The 15,642-nt window shown below is 38.7% G+C and overlaps 1 protein-coding gene and 1 long non-coding RNA gene across 4 annotated transcripts, besides 4 other annotated features; one reads left to right on the forward strand and one right to left on the reverse strand.

Annotated features, from left to right (window-relative positions):
• Positions 645 to 694: an enhancer, noted in NCBI's record as "active region_8294". NCBI's record gives its function as "activates an Ori minimal core promoter by ATAC-STARR-seq in GM12878 lymphoblastoid cells {active_cell/tissue: GM12878}" and the evidence as "EXISTENCE:reporter gene assay evidence [ECO:0000049][PMID:35858748]".
• On the forward strand, positions 1,000 to 10,982 carry DORIP1 (dopamine receptor interacting protein 1). 3 transcript variants are annotated; one of them, NM_001017923.2, is made up of 5 exons: positions 1,000 to 1,293; positions 4,160 to 4,684; positions 6,932 to 7,021; positions 8,120 to 8,254; positions 9,092 to 10,982. In NM_001017923.2, the coding sequence occupies exons 2-5, from the start codon at positions 4,161 to 4,163 to the stop codon at positions 9,273 to 9,275; spliced, it is 933 nt and encodes a 310-aa protein (NP_001017923.1). In that variant the 5' UTR covers positions 1,000 to 1,293; position 4,160; the 3' UTR covers positions 9,276 to 10,982. The 3 variants fall into 3 exon arrangements, with proteins under 3 accessions (NP_001017923.1, XP_047286871.1, XP_011534710.1); XM_047430915.1 differs by lacking the exons at positions 8,120 to 8,254; positions 9,092 to 10,982 and adding an exon at positions 7,248 to 7,338; XM_011536408.1 differs by lacking the exons at positions 1,000 to 1,293; positions 4,160 to 4,684 and adding an exon at positions 7,248 to 7,338.
• Positions 1,185 to 1,314: a silencer, noted in NCBI's record as "silent region_5692". NCBI's record gives its function as "represses an Ori minimal core promoter by ATAC-STARR-seq in GM12878 lymphoblastoid cells {active_cell/tissue: GM12878}" and the evidence as "EXISTENCE:reporter gene assay evidence [ECO:0000049][PMID:35858748]".
• Positions 1,319 to 1,818: an enhancer, noted in NCBI's record as "H3K27ac hESC enhancer chr14:45366797-45367296 (GRCh37/hg19 assembly coordinates)". NCBI's record gives its function as "activates a minimal SCP1, AML or CMV promoter by ChIP-STARR-seq in naive and primed H9 embryonic stem cells {active_cell/tissue: H9 hESC(naive and primed)}" and the evidence as "EXISTENCE:reporter gene assay evidence [ECO:0000049][PMID:30033119]".
• Positions 1,335 to 1,654: a silencer, noted in NCBI's record as "silent region_5693". NCBI's record gives its function as "represses an Ori minimal core promoter by ATAC-STARR-seq in GM12878 lymphoblastoid cells {active_cell/tissue: GM12878}" and the evidence as "EXISTENCE:reporter gene assay evidence [ECO:0000049][PMID:35858748]".
• LOC101927418 (uncharacterized) lies at positions 2,633 to 15,642 on the reverse strand. The gene is made up of 3 exons (NR_110050.1): positions 15,482 to 15,642; positions 2,955 to 3,038; positions 2,633 to 2,801 (listed from the first exon to the last, which is right to left on the reverse strand). It is a non-coding gene; the product is annotated as an uncharacterized LOC101927418 (long non-coding RNA).

Genomic DNA, 15,642 nt, shown 5'->3' on the forward strand with positions numbered 1-15,642 from the left:
CTCTCTTCCATTTCTAGACTTTTTTAGAGAGATCCATGAGGAAGTTCCCCTCCATAGCTTTGGCCGACCATCACACCGGTCAAGAAGGCATCCAGCCTCTCCCAGGCTCAGCCTGTGACGGAAAACCACACTGATTTACTAGGATAGCCTTGAGCTCTCTCATTAGCCCTCACGTGTTCTGAACGTTAGAGCTAACTTTCCAGACCCTCATTATTTGTTGAAAGGCTGGATGGGGAAAATCTCAACCAGATCTCCATGCCTACTTGCAAGGAGAGGTAGTTTTTGCAGGGTGGCCTGTGTTCTCCAGATGCAGAGCCATACAGGGCCTTGCTTCTTTACGGGAGATACAAAAACTCGGCCCTAATAAACAGAAATAGTGGTTGAGCCCACAAACTAGCATTAAGTTGTCCTAACTGTAATTTCCAGCTCCGTCACTTGCTGTGTGGGACCTTATTATCTCCAAAACCCAATTTTTTCAACTTCACAATGGAATTAAAACAATCTAATTTTTCAAAATGGGGTTAACTTCCACTGTAAGTTACAGTATATTGGCCAATAATTAACTTGAACACTAAAGCTGGCATTTAACAGATCAATTCAACTGTTTTCTAAGTAAATACTTAAACGCTTAAAAAACCGTAATTTACTGAGAAAACAAAGCTTTCTTTCTAGGTTAAGAATTTGAGAAAACAAGACCCAGAAGCAAACTAAAATCAAGTCCTAAAATGGTACAAACCTCAAAAAGCCAATCAGGTTTGCCAATAAAGCTCCGCCTCCGTGCAAACTCTGCCCACTTCCGGCTTCCCCACCCACCTTCTACCAGTGGAACCCCGCCCCTCTCTGCGAGGTCCCGCCCCCCACACCTGATCCTGGTTCCCATTGGGCGAATCTGGATGCTGTATACACAGCCGACACACGCACATTAGGCTGGGGCGTCTTCGCGCCTGCGCAGCTGCGCTGTCAGGCGGCTGAAAACGGGGGGGTTGGGGGGAGGGGGGCGGAGGTCGTGCCGAATCTTCCTCCGTAATAAGAAGCGACGTGTCCCACTGTCCTGGCTCCGTGGGTCCAGTGAGATTGGGCCTGGGCGCTGGAGCTGCTGTGGCTCCCGCCGCGGCGGCTGCCATGGAGGCCATGCCAGAGCCCAGAACTCACGCCGGGGGAGGCCGAGACAGCCGGCGGTACTCATAGATGAGGCAGCGGCGGCGGCGGCGGCGGCGGCAGCCCGGGCTCTCCATGAGCAGGCGGCGGCGGCGACGGGTGCGGCGGCACCGGCAGTTTTCGGTCCCCAGGGAGGTACGAGGAGTTTGCTTCCTGGTGGACGGAGACTGGCCGGTGTGGGAACGCCTTCCGCGGCCCGGCCCTCCAGCCTATTTGTCCGCAGTTCTGAGCACTCGGCGGGGCACTGCCCGGGCAGAGGCGGGGGCGCCCAGCCGACTCGCGGGCCCCTAACTCGGGGACCCGCCCGCCTCGGTGCCAGGCCTCCCGGGCGCGGCTGCCCAGGGCCAGGGTGGGCGTGGCCGGAACGTGGGGGCTCCCCGGGGGCGCACGCCTAGCGTCCGCCTTGTCCCTGTCCCGAAGTCCCGCGCTGCTGGGAGCGGTAGCGCGTGGCTGTACAGGCGTATTTTAGGCGCTGATTTGAGAGGGGACTTTTAGAATCCCTGAGTCCTTAGGGAGTCTGGCGTTCAATGCCTTGGGCATGTGGTGGGGTCCTCACGGCTAGCTTGGGGTACCAATTTCCTCCCTTGGAAGTCACCACGAAAGAAAGATGTTTTGTCAAAGAAATAGAGGTCAGGAGAGTTTTCCAGGTTTATTCAAATTGGAGGGCCCGTAGAGCCTGGAGAATAAAGCCAGCGGAATACATCCTCCAGTCCTTCTAATTACAGTTCCTAGCTAAACAGCTAAGACAATTTTAAGTAAAGCTCTTCACAGCTATCTTTCCATCATTTTTCCCCACCCCTCATTTTTATTGCAATTTACTTTGGAACAAATCACCAAATTCATGATGAAACTAGTATCCTCTAGTTCTTCCAAACCTTCCCTCCTCCCGTTTTTTCCAGAGAAAGACTAAAGTTTCATGCCACATATGTCATTATAGTTTAATTCTCTTAGAGTGTAAGGGTAGTTACACTTCATTTGGTCATGTCTGAAGATAATGTGAAGAAAATATCCTAGAGATTTATGCTTCCTTCCCAATGCACTATTTTAGGAATCCGAACTCAGGCTCTTTAAGCAATCTTAAACCTTGCTACAAAGTTCTTTAAAATTCAACGGAAATAAATCAAACCATAAAGTTATTTTCGTTTTTAAAGTATTTGAATGCATAACTGTTTTTTAAAATCTTTGTAAACAAAACGAATCAGTATCTATTACGAAGAAACTGAGTTTGTGTTTTCCTAGGCTGCAGATTTGCCACACCCTCTTCTTCCTAAGTGGATGACTAGAATCAATGTGTTGGCCAACTAGATATAAACATCCACTCTTCATACTAAATATAGTTACTGGATATTTTAGAGTCCACAGTATCTTGCTTCAAACTGAAAACACTGTGTTCATGTGTGTTTAATATATTGCAGAAGTGAATTTTTACTCGCGTTGCAGAATGTTTTGGACTTAGTTTCTTACACAAATAAAACACGTAGGACTGCAGCTTTATTAAGTGTTGAGTTCATGTTGTGTTTGGGAGGATGCAGCACTTGGAAAAGATGGTCAAAATAAGACACTGATCTCAGTCACTCATTTCTCTGTTTCCACTCCTCAGATGCCTCCCTTTTTTCATAACAATACTTCTCCATAAAAGTAACCTCGGAAAACAATATGATGTTGTTAGTTTATTTGCTTGTCCCAAGTAAAGTGAAGGAGTTTTTTCAATACAATTGTAAAAAGAACTCATTCTTTCAAAAGTATGTGCGCTATATAACATACATATAACACAACATATTTATTAAAATACTTACTGTGGCTTTAAAAACAAAGTGCCTAGTGGTCCTCAAGGTTGGGGAAGAGTGCCAGTTTGAAAAGGGAGGATGCTTTGCTTCATTCTGAAAACATGCATAGGGAATAATCAGGATATTTATCAAGTTCTGAATCAGATCTTCATAGTATAGCCTCTGTAGTTAAAAATTATAGTATATCTAAATTGCACAATAGCACAATTCTCAGTTGCAAATAAAAATCCCAAAGTGATTAGCAATATTAGCTATGCTACTATTCACTTAAGATTGATTTTCATGATTACTCCTCATGCTGTCTTTCAAAGCTAAATGTCAGAATTAGTCTTAGTCTATATAGCAACAGGAGTTTTTTTTTTTACATAGTTTTTCTCTACAACAAATAAAATATGTAGTATAGTTAATATAAAGATTATGTAATGGCTATTATTCTGTACCCCCAATTAAGGATCCCATTATATTAGTTTCTTAAGTGGAATCACCCATATTAACAAGAAAATGAAGCAAGCACAGCCTGTATTTTGGAAAGATGAGGAGGTTTACATTAGGAATATGCCTAACCAAAGTTAATGTTTTTAATAGCTTTATTTTCATTTAGGAATTTTTTTTTTTTTTTTTTTTTTTTTTGAGATGGAGTTTCACTCGTTGCCCAGGCTGGAATGAGATGGCGTGATCTCGGCTCACCGCAACCTCCGCCTCCCAGGTTCAAGCGATTCTCCTGCCTCAGCCTCCCGAGTAGCTGGGATTACAGGCATGCGCCACCACGCCCAGCTAATTTTGTATTTTTAATAGAGAGAGGGTTTCTCCATGTTGGTCAGGCTGGTCTCGAACGCCCGACCTCAGGTGATCGCCCGCCTCAGCCTCCCAAAGTACTGGGATTACAGGTGTGAGCCACCGTGCCCAGCCTCAGGATTTTTTTTATTACAGGGTTTCCCTCTGTCACAGATAAAATCTGCAATGTAATTAATATAAAGCCTATCAAATGGCCATCTGTACCTCAAAAAAAGACTGCAGCTTCTTAAATGGTCTTTCCAGAGAGCATGCATAGTGCGCGAAAAGTGGCTCATTTAAATTTTTTTGCTATGTTGGGAGGCCTAATAACCACATTTGATTTGAGTCTTTAGATGGATTTATTTTCGTTTAAACATATTATGCATTTAATATACAAAGTTACAATTTTATGTGTTCTGTTTTAAACTTTTAAAATGTAGGATGAAGACACTGTTTGAAGAGATCAAAGCATCAATTAAAAATAACTATAACCAAGATCGATCATTTTGTAGGCCTGTTCTTCCTTGGGGGGGTGTTTTTACTATCAAAGCTGGCCGCAAAGCAGTATCCTGTACACCACTCTATGTTGAAATAAGACTGAAAAATACCTGCACCATAGATGGATTCTTGATGTTATTATATGTCATTCTTAATGAAAATGAAAACTTCCCTAGGGAACTCTCTCTTCATTTTGGTAGAGAGTTTGTAGACTGTTTTCTTTACTTAATGGACACCTACAGTTTTACAACTGTGAAGCTACTTTGGATTTGGGACAAGATGGAAAAACAGCAATACAAATCTGAAGTCCATAAAGCTTCATTAATAATTGATTTGTTTGGGAATGAGCATGATAATTTTACAAAAAATCTTGAAAATCTCATGTCTACCATTCAAGAGAGTTACTGTTCCAACTGGCGATGCCCAACTCGAGTGCAGGAGGATCAGCAGCGCACAATTAATATAAAGTAAGTTGGTCTAACGTCTGTTTTGTCACTTTTACTTTTTTTAATGAATGTTGCTTTAGATATGTAGTCGTGTACCCCATAATGACATTTGGGTCAACAAAGGACCACATATGCCATGCTGGTTTGTAGGATACTGTATATTTAGTATACCTTTCTATGTTTAGGTACACAAAGACTTACCATTTTGTTAAAATTGCCTACAGAATTAAGTATAGTAACATGTTGTATGGATTTGTAGCCTAGGAGCAATAGGCTTTACCATATAGCCTCGGTGTGTAAAAGGTTATACCATCTAGTTTTGTGTAAGCACATTCTAGGATGTTTACACACTATGAAATCATCTAAGGATACATTTCTCAGAATGTGTCCCCATTGGATGACAAATGACAATATTGCCAAAGTATTTGTTAAAGTACAGAGCCTTTATAATTACTTAGGCATGAAGCAGTCACAGAAATGCAAGATTCTTCTGCAGGTCCCCTGAAAACAGTGTTACAGCCTATTACATCCAAACATCTTATAATTACTTTACAAAACCAGCTGATAACCTTGTCAGTAGCAAAGTAATGAATTATTCAGTATGAAAAATATATTACTCTTACTTGAATTTACTAATATGACTATAGATGATTCTTAGTGTCACAAATGTAACCTCTTTAAGAGCGCTTAATACTGTTTTGGAATGTTTCACCCTTTGAATAGGTCTCTGTCAGGAGGGCTAGTTCCATATGAACAAGAAAATTAAAAGCATCCTTTCATATTATGGCCAAGACATAATTATAGACAGAAACCCAGAACTTGGCATCTCACATGTGGATGTGGATGTAAGCAGCTTTTATTTTGACTAGGAAAGGTGCAAGGAGCCAGATGAGTGTTTTTGGCTTTCAGAGAAAAGGCAGATCTCCCACCTGGTAAATGATAGGGACAAAGTCCAAATTGGCAAGCCCTAGTGGAGTGTTGGGAAACGTTAAAGCCTCCAAGGGACATGAGCTGGAAAGGGGATAATTGCCAGTGGAAGAAAAACAGACCCAAATGCATTTTTGGCAGAAAGGTATTTGGCCCTATGGTCCAGAAAAACAGCCTGATAGATCGTTCCCATTTGGAAATGTATATCACATACCCTAATTTGTTAAACTTACATTTCTCTGAAATACACTGTCTATTTTCCTGCATTGCTAATTTGAAATATCAATCAATGGAAATAATTATCAAGTCATAAAGACAACTCAGAAGTGTTGCAGTGATCATAGCTCACTGCAGCCTTGAACTCCCGGGCTCAAGTGATCCTCCTGCCTCATGGCTCACTACTTCAGCCTCTCCAGTAGCTGGGACTACAGGTATATGCCACCATGCCCAGCTAATGTTTTATTTATTTTTTTATTTTTTGAGACAGGGTCTCACTCCATCTCCCAGGCTGAAGTATAATGGTGTGATCACAGCTCACTGCAACGTTGACTTCCTGGGTTCAAGAGATCCTCCTGTCTCAGCACCCCCAAGTAGCTGGCACCAGGGGCATGTACCACCATGCCCGGCTAATTTTTGTATTTTTTTTTAGAGATAGGATCTTGCTGTGTTGCCCAGGTTGGTCTCAAACTTCTGATTCACCCACCTCAGCTTCCCAAAGTGCTGGGATTACAGGCGTGAGCCACCACACCCAGCCTAATATCTTGTTTTTTAAAAACTAGTTTCATCTGTAAATATTTTGAAACTATAATGAAATATTTATAATTCTATATTTTATACTATTGAATAAAATATTTTTCATCATACTCTATAACTTTTAAGTTTTTGCCTACTTTTTAAAAAATCCTATATTTAAAGCAACCTCTGAAGTAATGTAGAAAAAAAGTTTTTTTTAACGGATCAGGTACTTGAGGCCAAGAATGATTATTACTTACATTTAATCAGGTAACTAATCAGCTGCTCCTCTGATTCTGGGTCCTAGTTCCTTCCCACGAGACCAGATTGCCTCTTTTGAATCTTCTCACAAATGTTTTAAATTATCATAGCAGCAACTGGATATATCAGGATTGTTTATACAAAAATATGTTTCTTTGAAAATTTCATAATTAGTGTTTGAGTTCAACTGGTTTCTATACTATCTGCAAGAAATTCTGAATGTGTCATAAAGGTTATACTTGGTATAACTGGTTTTGCTAATAAAGGACTGAGCTGTAAAATTTGTTATAATATATTAAGATATAAAATGTTGAAGCAGTTCTTACATGCATTTAATAATTATTATAGTCCTCCCCAAGAAATTCCACATGGAAACTTGATAAGACTGGCTGTGAATGAGTTATTCTGTTCCAAGATTGAACTGTGTGAAGAGCATGGGTGAGTATACAATAGACATTTAAAATGACAGTATGTATGTGTTTATAAGGAAACCTAGGCAGATGTGCTCCTTGAAGTACTTTATGAATCTTATTAACCTAGTTTACTATGACATTTTACAGTGTTTTTGTTACGGAGTATATCACTACATAGAATATGGTACTACAGCTGATTGATGAATACAAAGCAAATACCTTTTCTTTTTTCCCCCCCCACTGCTGAGTAGGTACAATAAAACCTTGGTTAACTGGAACCCAGCTAATTGGGACCCTCAATTATCTGGATTTTTTTCTGCACTCTCCATTTAGGAGAAAGAGGTAAATGACAACTAAAAAACTTAACCTAGTAAAAGTTGAGAGAAGCAGAACATATTCATCCCAATCTCTTAAAATTTTCTGTGACTACATTATTGTATAATGAGAATTAATATTTAGAAGGATGATCTTATTGCTGATTAATTACAAAAGGAAAGGTAAAAATATGTTCTGTTAATTGTACCTATTAAGTCCAGAAAGTGAACGAATATATTGTAGCAACAAATACTGAAACAGATGGTTTTCTGGTTAATTTGGTTTAGTTAATAATGTTTGTTAACCAGAATACTGTACCCTGAGCATTCCGGTTAATCAAGATTTTACTGTATAATTCAATATGTTATATTCTGATCCATATACTTAATACCTCATAATATGAGGAAACAATTTGTTCATGCTTATAGTCGAGTCTAATGGCAAAAGGAAGCAATTAGAGTCATATTTTTCCCCTCTCTGCCATTATTTGAAACCAGCATATAGAGTGAAATATAAAAGCGTTTGTATCAGTTCTGCAGAGTTATGCTTTCATAGGCTTATACAGAAATAGCCAGCATTTCCTGGAGTTTTAAACGTGTCATTTCTAGTGTAAGGAACACAGCTTATAAACTTCTGGAACTATTAGGTGATATAAGGTAGTAATTACCCTATAACTATAGGTATTAACCATTACCTACACCTATAATAGATAATTATAAGAAAATTAAAGTCATAAAGACAACTCTGAAGTGTTGAAAGCCAGCTTTGTCCCAAGTGTAATAATGTTCATGCCTGTTTTCTATTTTAGGTGTGGTGGCTTAAGAGAATTTTCCCAACGAATTTTCTGCCATGGGGCACCCCCTTTTGTTGTCTTAAATATGCAACATTGGAAATCTGAAGATCTGGCGTATGTACCCTATTACTTGGATTTGTCTGATCACAAGTAGGTGTTTTTGTTGTTGTTTCTTTATAAAACTAATAAAAAAAATTTATCCTGTTATATTATGATTTTGACTAGCCCTTAAGAGATATTGTTGAAAACAATCATATCTGTCTCTAAATTTATGTATTCTGAATAGAATCAGAATTTATTACAGAGAGTCAGTTACTAGCAGTGCACATAGTGGGTAGGTGTGTGGACTACAGAATAGACAGAATTGGGTTCAAATCCTAGCCCCATCTTTTATAAGTTAACCTTGGGCCAACAACTTAACCAGTTTACATGTCAGTTTTCTTATCTATAAAACACAGATGATGGTATCAACCTAGTGCAATTATTGTAAAGATTTAATAAGCACATACTAAGTGTTTAAGATAGTACCTGACACATAATACTGGATAGTATAATAATAGCACAGTATTTTGTGCCTGACACATACTGGCTAATACTTGTATTTCAAGTCAGAGAAGTTCGTAGTAGTATGCAGGTGGTCATAATTTAAACATAAAATGTTACTTGTCACTATAAATAAAAATATCTGCATACAAATCAGGAAATAAAGGGTTCTTTTAACATTTTCCCTGTAAAAGTTTTCTTACGTGTTTACTCTTTTTTAAAAGAAACATACAGGTTATAAGTTCATCTGTTAAAATATGTTTTTAAGAAATTCTTAATTTCCACATTTCCAATTTTATTACATGATCTATAGAGATGGATATCTTTTTCAGGGAACAGAATACAAACAATGTCAATGTTTTTATTCCTTAGTTATGAATTTAAGGAATGTTTATCTTAACAAAGTATTAAATTTTCTCTCATACTATATTATTTAATTTGCAGGTATTTGTTGGAAGGTGCCACATTATTTAACAAAGAGGAACATCATTATTCTGCAGCTTTCCAGATTGGTGGACATTGGATGCACTATGATGGGCTCAGAAATGTGAATTTAATTTTGTTAAATAAACCCCCAGAGTTTCTCCTCTTGTCATCATTGGTTTATATTCGAGCAACAGAGAAATAAATATAGATTGATGCTAAAAGTTGTTTTCCCTCCTGCCCATGCTCTCCCAGATGAAGGGCTTTTATTTTGTGTATACTTGGTATCCAAGAAAATAGTTCAACTATACTAGTTTCAGAAGTGTATTTTCAGTGTTTAACCCCAGGTAAATGTTTTATATAGAGGATCTGTGCAAAAATGTTTGTAATTTTTTTATATTTCCTGAGTTATTTTTATATGAGCATATTTTATGTTGGAATAAAATATATCTTGTGGCCTTTGTATTTTTTATTTATATGTACCTCAAAGATTTTTACAATTCTGTCTTTGAATTCAAGAAATACTTTGTCATCTGAATTCTAAATTTTTCTTTTTGGATATTCGAGTAAAACCTAGGTAAAAGTATTTTAAGTTTATATAATTTAACAGTTCAAAATATATCTGACTGTATTTCTTTGCCCTACCTCACTATAATCCAAAGTGCACTATTTGATCTAGTATGGATTTGAATGTACAATTTATCGATGGCTTAGTTTATTAGTTCGATTTGCCTAGTATCCCTGCAGCAATTTTTTAAAATGTCTGAGAAATTTTTCAGAGCTTAAACTATTTCTTTATAATGGCAAATTACTTTTAACTACTTCCTAAAGTATTATAAACCTGCCAGTGGATTTTAAGTGATAGCTAAGCTTCCAAGCTTAATTCACGTTATTACAAATAAATTATATAACTATCTTAAATGTTTATCTTATAATTAAATGTAATTTGAAATGCTCTAATGTATTTTGCAGATAAAACAACTATAAACAATATTAGGCAACTGGATGTTTACTAGTGTCGGACTAGCAATAGAAATGCACTTTAAATATATATTTAAGGGGAAATGCGTGCCTGGAAATACTTCTTTTCCTAGTGAAGTTTTATATTGACACAGAGAAAAGAATACTTAAAATTTTGAGTGATGTCTACTGGCTTCCTTGTAAGTAGTGATTGATAGCATGCGGCTTTGACTTGCAATACAAATCATTACGATTTTATAGTTATCAGAACATTACGTTTCTTTATAAAGACCCTAAGGTCACTCTTCTTTTTGCAACTTAAGGGAAAAAATATTCTCAAGGGAAAATACTTTTTGAAATTTATCACCATTTTAGTGTTTACATTTCAATAAATAGTTCACTTCAGGTTTGGGATTGAGATTAGTTGCAATATATTTAGAAGCTCCTACATGACAGCACAGATCACTGCCATCTGCTGAACTGCTAAAGTGCTTGGTGCCATGTTGAGAAAACTTACCCAAGAATGGATAAATATGGGTGAAACATTACTGAGAATGCCTCACGTTAGCAAATACTATGAAAATTCTTGTTTATATATCAAACTGATTTATTTTACAAAAAAAAAAAATTCACCCCAAGATTTATTTAGTTTCCCAAGTGTATCTGATTAGGATTTAATTTAGAGTAAACTTTTCTGGGGACACCTGATTGCATGAACTGAAGTATACAATAACACAAATATTACAGTAAACATAAATGGTGTCATTAACAAAATTATTCCTAATGCAGATTTATTCTTTCAGGAAATGCACTTTATTTGGAATACTAGTTTATCATGAAACAATGACTTACCTACCTCACAGGGTTGTTGTGAGGATTAAGATGTTTGTTAAAATCTTGACTACCTTGAACATGCTAATAAAAAAACATTTTTCTACCTCTTTTATTTGCAGGCAAGGCTCCCAGATTTTCTCTAACTACTGAACTTTGCAGATTTTAAAAAATTACTTAGGCTGTAGCTCATATCACTAATATATTTAGTGTGTAATGGAAATTCAGTATGCCTTCTTGACCCCAGGTTGGGGCTTAAGGAGGAGAACAGATAGTTTATTTTTATGGTAGCAGTTGATAGAAACAAGAAATTATCCCCTGCTGACCAAACAGTGAATAGAAAAAGGATCAAAAAGAATTAACTAAAATAGATTACGGAATGTGAAGGTGAGGGTATGGAAAATTCTTTGTAGTTCTATAAACATCCTTAATCAGAATAATCTACTGGTGGGGGGGGGCTAAAGATACGAGGTAATAATCAGATTATATATTTTTTTGTTTTGGTTTTGTTTTTCTTTTATTTTTTATTTTTTGAGATGGAGTCTTACTGTCACCCAGGCTGGAGTGCAGTGGTTCCATCTTGGCTCACTGCAGCCTCTGCCTCCCTGGTTCAAGCGATTCTCCCACCTCAGCCTCGTAGCTCAGATTACAGGCGCACAGCCACCACACCTGGCTAATTTTTGTATTTTGAGTAGAGACGGGGTTCCACTATGTTGGCCAGGCTGGTCTCAAACTCCTGACCTCAGGTGATCCACCTGCCTCGGCCTCCCAAAAGTGCTAGGATTACAGGTGCGAGCCACCGCACCCAGCCCCAGAATATATTTTTAATCAAAATACCACAAACAACTCCTATACCTACAGGGACAGCAAAAATAATTTTAAAACCTTTTCTGCAATCTGGCATAAAGAACAAATAAGCAAATTTAAGAAGGAGTCTTCAACTAGCTTCAGTAAAAGAAACCGTTTCTTCTTTAACTTCTGTAAATAATCTTATTCCTTCAAAGTAGTTTATAATAATTTATAAATTATTAGTTTAAACTGTCACTAGATCTAATCCATCCAATGAAAGAGGAAGAGAAAGGATAACTGACCACCACAGGCATGCCTACTAGACTGAGTCCCATGTTCTATTTCTTTCCTAAAGTATGGGCAAACAACTATATAATCAGATGACTACTATCACACATAAAAAGCTACACATGGCAGGACACGTGGCTCATGCCTGTAATCCCAGCACTTTGGGAGGCTGAGGTGAGAGGATCACTTGAACTCAGGAGTTCCCTGGGCAACACAGGGAGACCCCATCTCTACTAAAAATACAAAAATCAGTCAGGTGTGATGGTGTTCACTTGTTGCCTGTAGTGCCAGTTACTCAGGAGGCTGAGGTGGGAGGATGGCTTGAGCCTAAGAGTTGGAGGTTGCAGGGAGCAGAGATCACTGGAGCAGCCTGCGTAACACAGCAAGACCTGTCTCAAAAAAAAAAAAAAAAAAGCAAAGAAAAGGAAAGCTGTACATGTTGAGCATATGAAAAATTTAGTTATGTTTGTTTTGAGATGGAGTTTCGCTCCTGTTGCCCAGGTTGGTGTGCAATGGCACCATCTTGGCTCACTGCAACCTCTGACTCCCAGGTTCAAATGATGCTCCTGCCTCAGTCTCCGGAGTAGCTGGGATTACAGGCAGGCGCCACCCACACCCGGCTATTTTTGTATTTTCAGTAGAGACGGAGTTTCTCCATGTTGGTGGCTGGTCTCAAACTCCCGATTTCAGGTGATCTGCCCGCGTTGGCCTCCCAAAGTGCTGGGATTACAGGCGTGAGCCACTGTGCCCGGCCCGAAATTTAGTTTTATAATGATTCAGTGATGTTTAATTATTAGAAAATAACTGTAATGTACTATAAGGCAGAAAGGGTAAGAATTCATATAAAATGATTGTAATTAATATTACTAAACTACAGCCAAACCAAACATTTAAAATTTTTAAATTTTCTCCTTTTCCTTTGTTGATGCCCTAGCATTTAAAATCAGCATCAAATTATTCTGCCCTAAAACTTCATAGCTTTAAAAGTTCATCTTATTGAGACATTTATACAAAGATCTTAAATTGAATGTCTTACTATCAGGGGTTCCTACATCCCACCGTACTGGCCCAAGCTCCACTCTCTGGTCACCTGGACAGCCTCCTCGCTATGGTCTGAATGATGGTCTCCCTTTCAAAATTTACATTGAGCTTAATCCCTATGGTGGTGGTACTGAGAGCTGGGACGTTTGGGGAGGTTTGGGGAGGCTTTGCCCTCATGAGTGAGATGAATTGCCCTTATAAATGGACTTTTTTTTTTTTTTTTTTTTGAGACAGGGTTTCACTGTGTCACCCAGGCTGGAGTGCCACGGCACAATCATGGCTTATTGTAGCCTCAACCTGCTGGGCTCAAGTGATCCTCCCACCTCAACCTCCCAAGTTGCTGGGACTACAGACATGCACCACCAAATCCCCTTAATTTTAAAAAATTTTTTGTGGAGACAGGGTCTCTGTATGTTTCCCAGGCTGGTCTCAAACTCCTGGGCTCAAGTAATCCTCCTGCCTCAGCCTCCCAAAGTGCTGGGATTATAGGCATGAGCCACCGTGCCCAGCCAGTAATGGGCTTGACAGAGTGAGTTTGACCCTTTCGCCCTTTTTCCTCCTGCTATGTGATAATGCAGCAAGAAAACCCGTATCAGATGCTGGCATCTCCATCTTAATTTTCCCAACTTCCAGAACTGTAAGAAATACATTTCTCTTCTTTATAAATTACCAAATCTCAGGTGTTTTGTTATAGCAGCACAAATGAACTAAGACACTCCTTTAACCTCAAATTTAATTTGATCCTGGGGAGAAAACAGCCTTTTACTCTATCTCTTGTAGCTGAGGGGGAGGAAGTTAGTAAGAAGCCATCTGTAACTAGATAATTTCTTTATATGCTGAGGATGTAATTAGATTATTTATCCTCAAATGAGCAATCAGTTCCATTGTTTATCCACTGTTTTCTCAATAAGATCTTCTGCAAGGTATCAGGAGGAATATTGCTTAAAAATGAAAAGGTGAGCTGCTTCGGCAGGAACCTCAAAAAGGGTGTGGAATGGAACAGGAGCTTTGGGAGCAAATTAGCTGCGTAGGCAAGTTAGCCATAGTAGAATCAGAAACTTGCTATTTATACAAGTTGGATGGATTTTCATTACTTGTTTTATCTTTGAGTTTTATTTTATTTATTATCTATTTATTTTTGAGACGGAGCTTTGCTCTGTCGCCCAGGCTGAAGTGCAGTGGCATGATCTTGGCTCACTGCAACCTCCGCCTCCCGGATTCAAGCAATTCTCCTGCCTCAGCCTCCTAAGTAGCTGAGATTACAGGTAAGTGCCACCACGCCCGGCTAATTTTTGTATTTTTAGTAGAGTCGGGGTTTCACCATGTTGGCCAGGCTGGTCTCAAACTCCTGACCTCAGGTGAGCCACCTGCCTCGGCCTCCCAAAGTGCTGGGATTACACATGTAAGCCAGCGTGCCCGGCCTATCTTTGAATTTTATAAACACTCATTTCGCAATATGAATATAAAATAATATGTAAATCAGTAATACAAAAGAAGTTTGAAGAAGAAAATAAAGGTCATCCATAACTTCTCCACCATCATTTCTTCCATCCATAATTTACACAATTATGATTACATAATCCAGTGATTGGCTCACACTGGTAAAGACTTTTTGGAAAGTCTAGCATGGCTCTACAGTACTGAAGAGAACCAAGAACCAAGGAGTTAGGGCTTGGAAGGAAGAAGTGTATACTCCTGGAGGCCAGCATAGTGGTGATAGAGATAATTAACATGACAAAACTCCAAGAGGAAAGTAAGACTCAGGAAAACAGCTGTGGCCACCTGTTCAGGCATTTCTTTTCACCCGGACACTTGCTTTCAAAAACATTTGTCTTCTTAAACCTTCAATAACTCATTCTTTTATTTTACAAAGGATATCATTCCTTTACAATCCTCTACCTACATCTTAATCATAGTATCCCGGGTGCTGAAGTTTGGAAGCAAGACCAGGATGGAATAAATTGTCCCCAAATAGATACAACCAAATAGACTTTCTGTTTTCCTGTTAACCTAATACAGAGTTGTAACAAAGAAAGATTAAAATACACTCAACGTAATTAGCTTTAAGGGCAGGGTGGACAAAATCTGAGAGAGTTTTTGAAGAGGAGAGAAGCAGATACAGTAAGTATCTCCGCATACCCAACATATGAGAATTTTAGGGCAGTGGAAAGGGATTGGGAAGGAGAAAAAACACAAGAGAGCTGACCTGAGCTCAAGTTAAGAAGAGACCAGGTTAAGGCTTGGAGAAAATGGCCCACCAGCTAGGAAAATCCTTTCCCAAGCAGGCTAGGTTTGATTTGGGGGCTGCAAACTAGAACAAGGTAATATCAGACATATTTTCTCTGCAGCATTCATTTAATATATACTTATTGAGTATCTACCATTTGCTACTTGAATTAGATATGCTTTCAGCCCTGGAAGAGTATACATGCCTACAGCGGGAGAAAAATGAGTAAAACAATGATGACAGTATAAAACGAAATACTATGGCAGGGTAGGTACCTGGGGCTTTGAGAGTACACAGGAGGGACAACTCTGAAAACAACCGCTGTGAGGTTTTTGAACCAGGCCTTTCACAGTAGCTGCCCACCACTCCCGGAGGAGATCTGTAAAGGAAAAAGATTACAGATTCTTCAGCTTGTGATTTCAAAGACAATTATACA

Source organism: Homo sapiens, chromosome 14 (genome assembly GCF_000001405.40).
Source record: "Homo sapiens chromosome 14, GRCh38.p14 Primary Assembly".
In the NCBI taxonomy this organism is placed as follows: domain Eukaryota; kingdom Metazoa; phylum Chordata; class Mammalia; order Primates; family Hominidae; genus Homo; species Homo sapiens.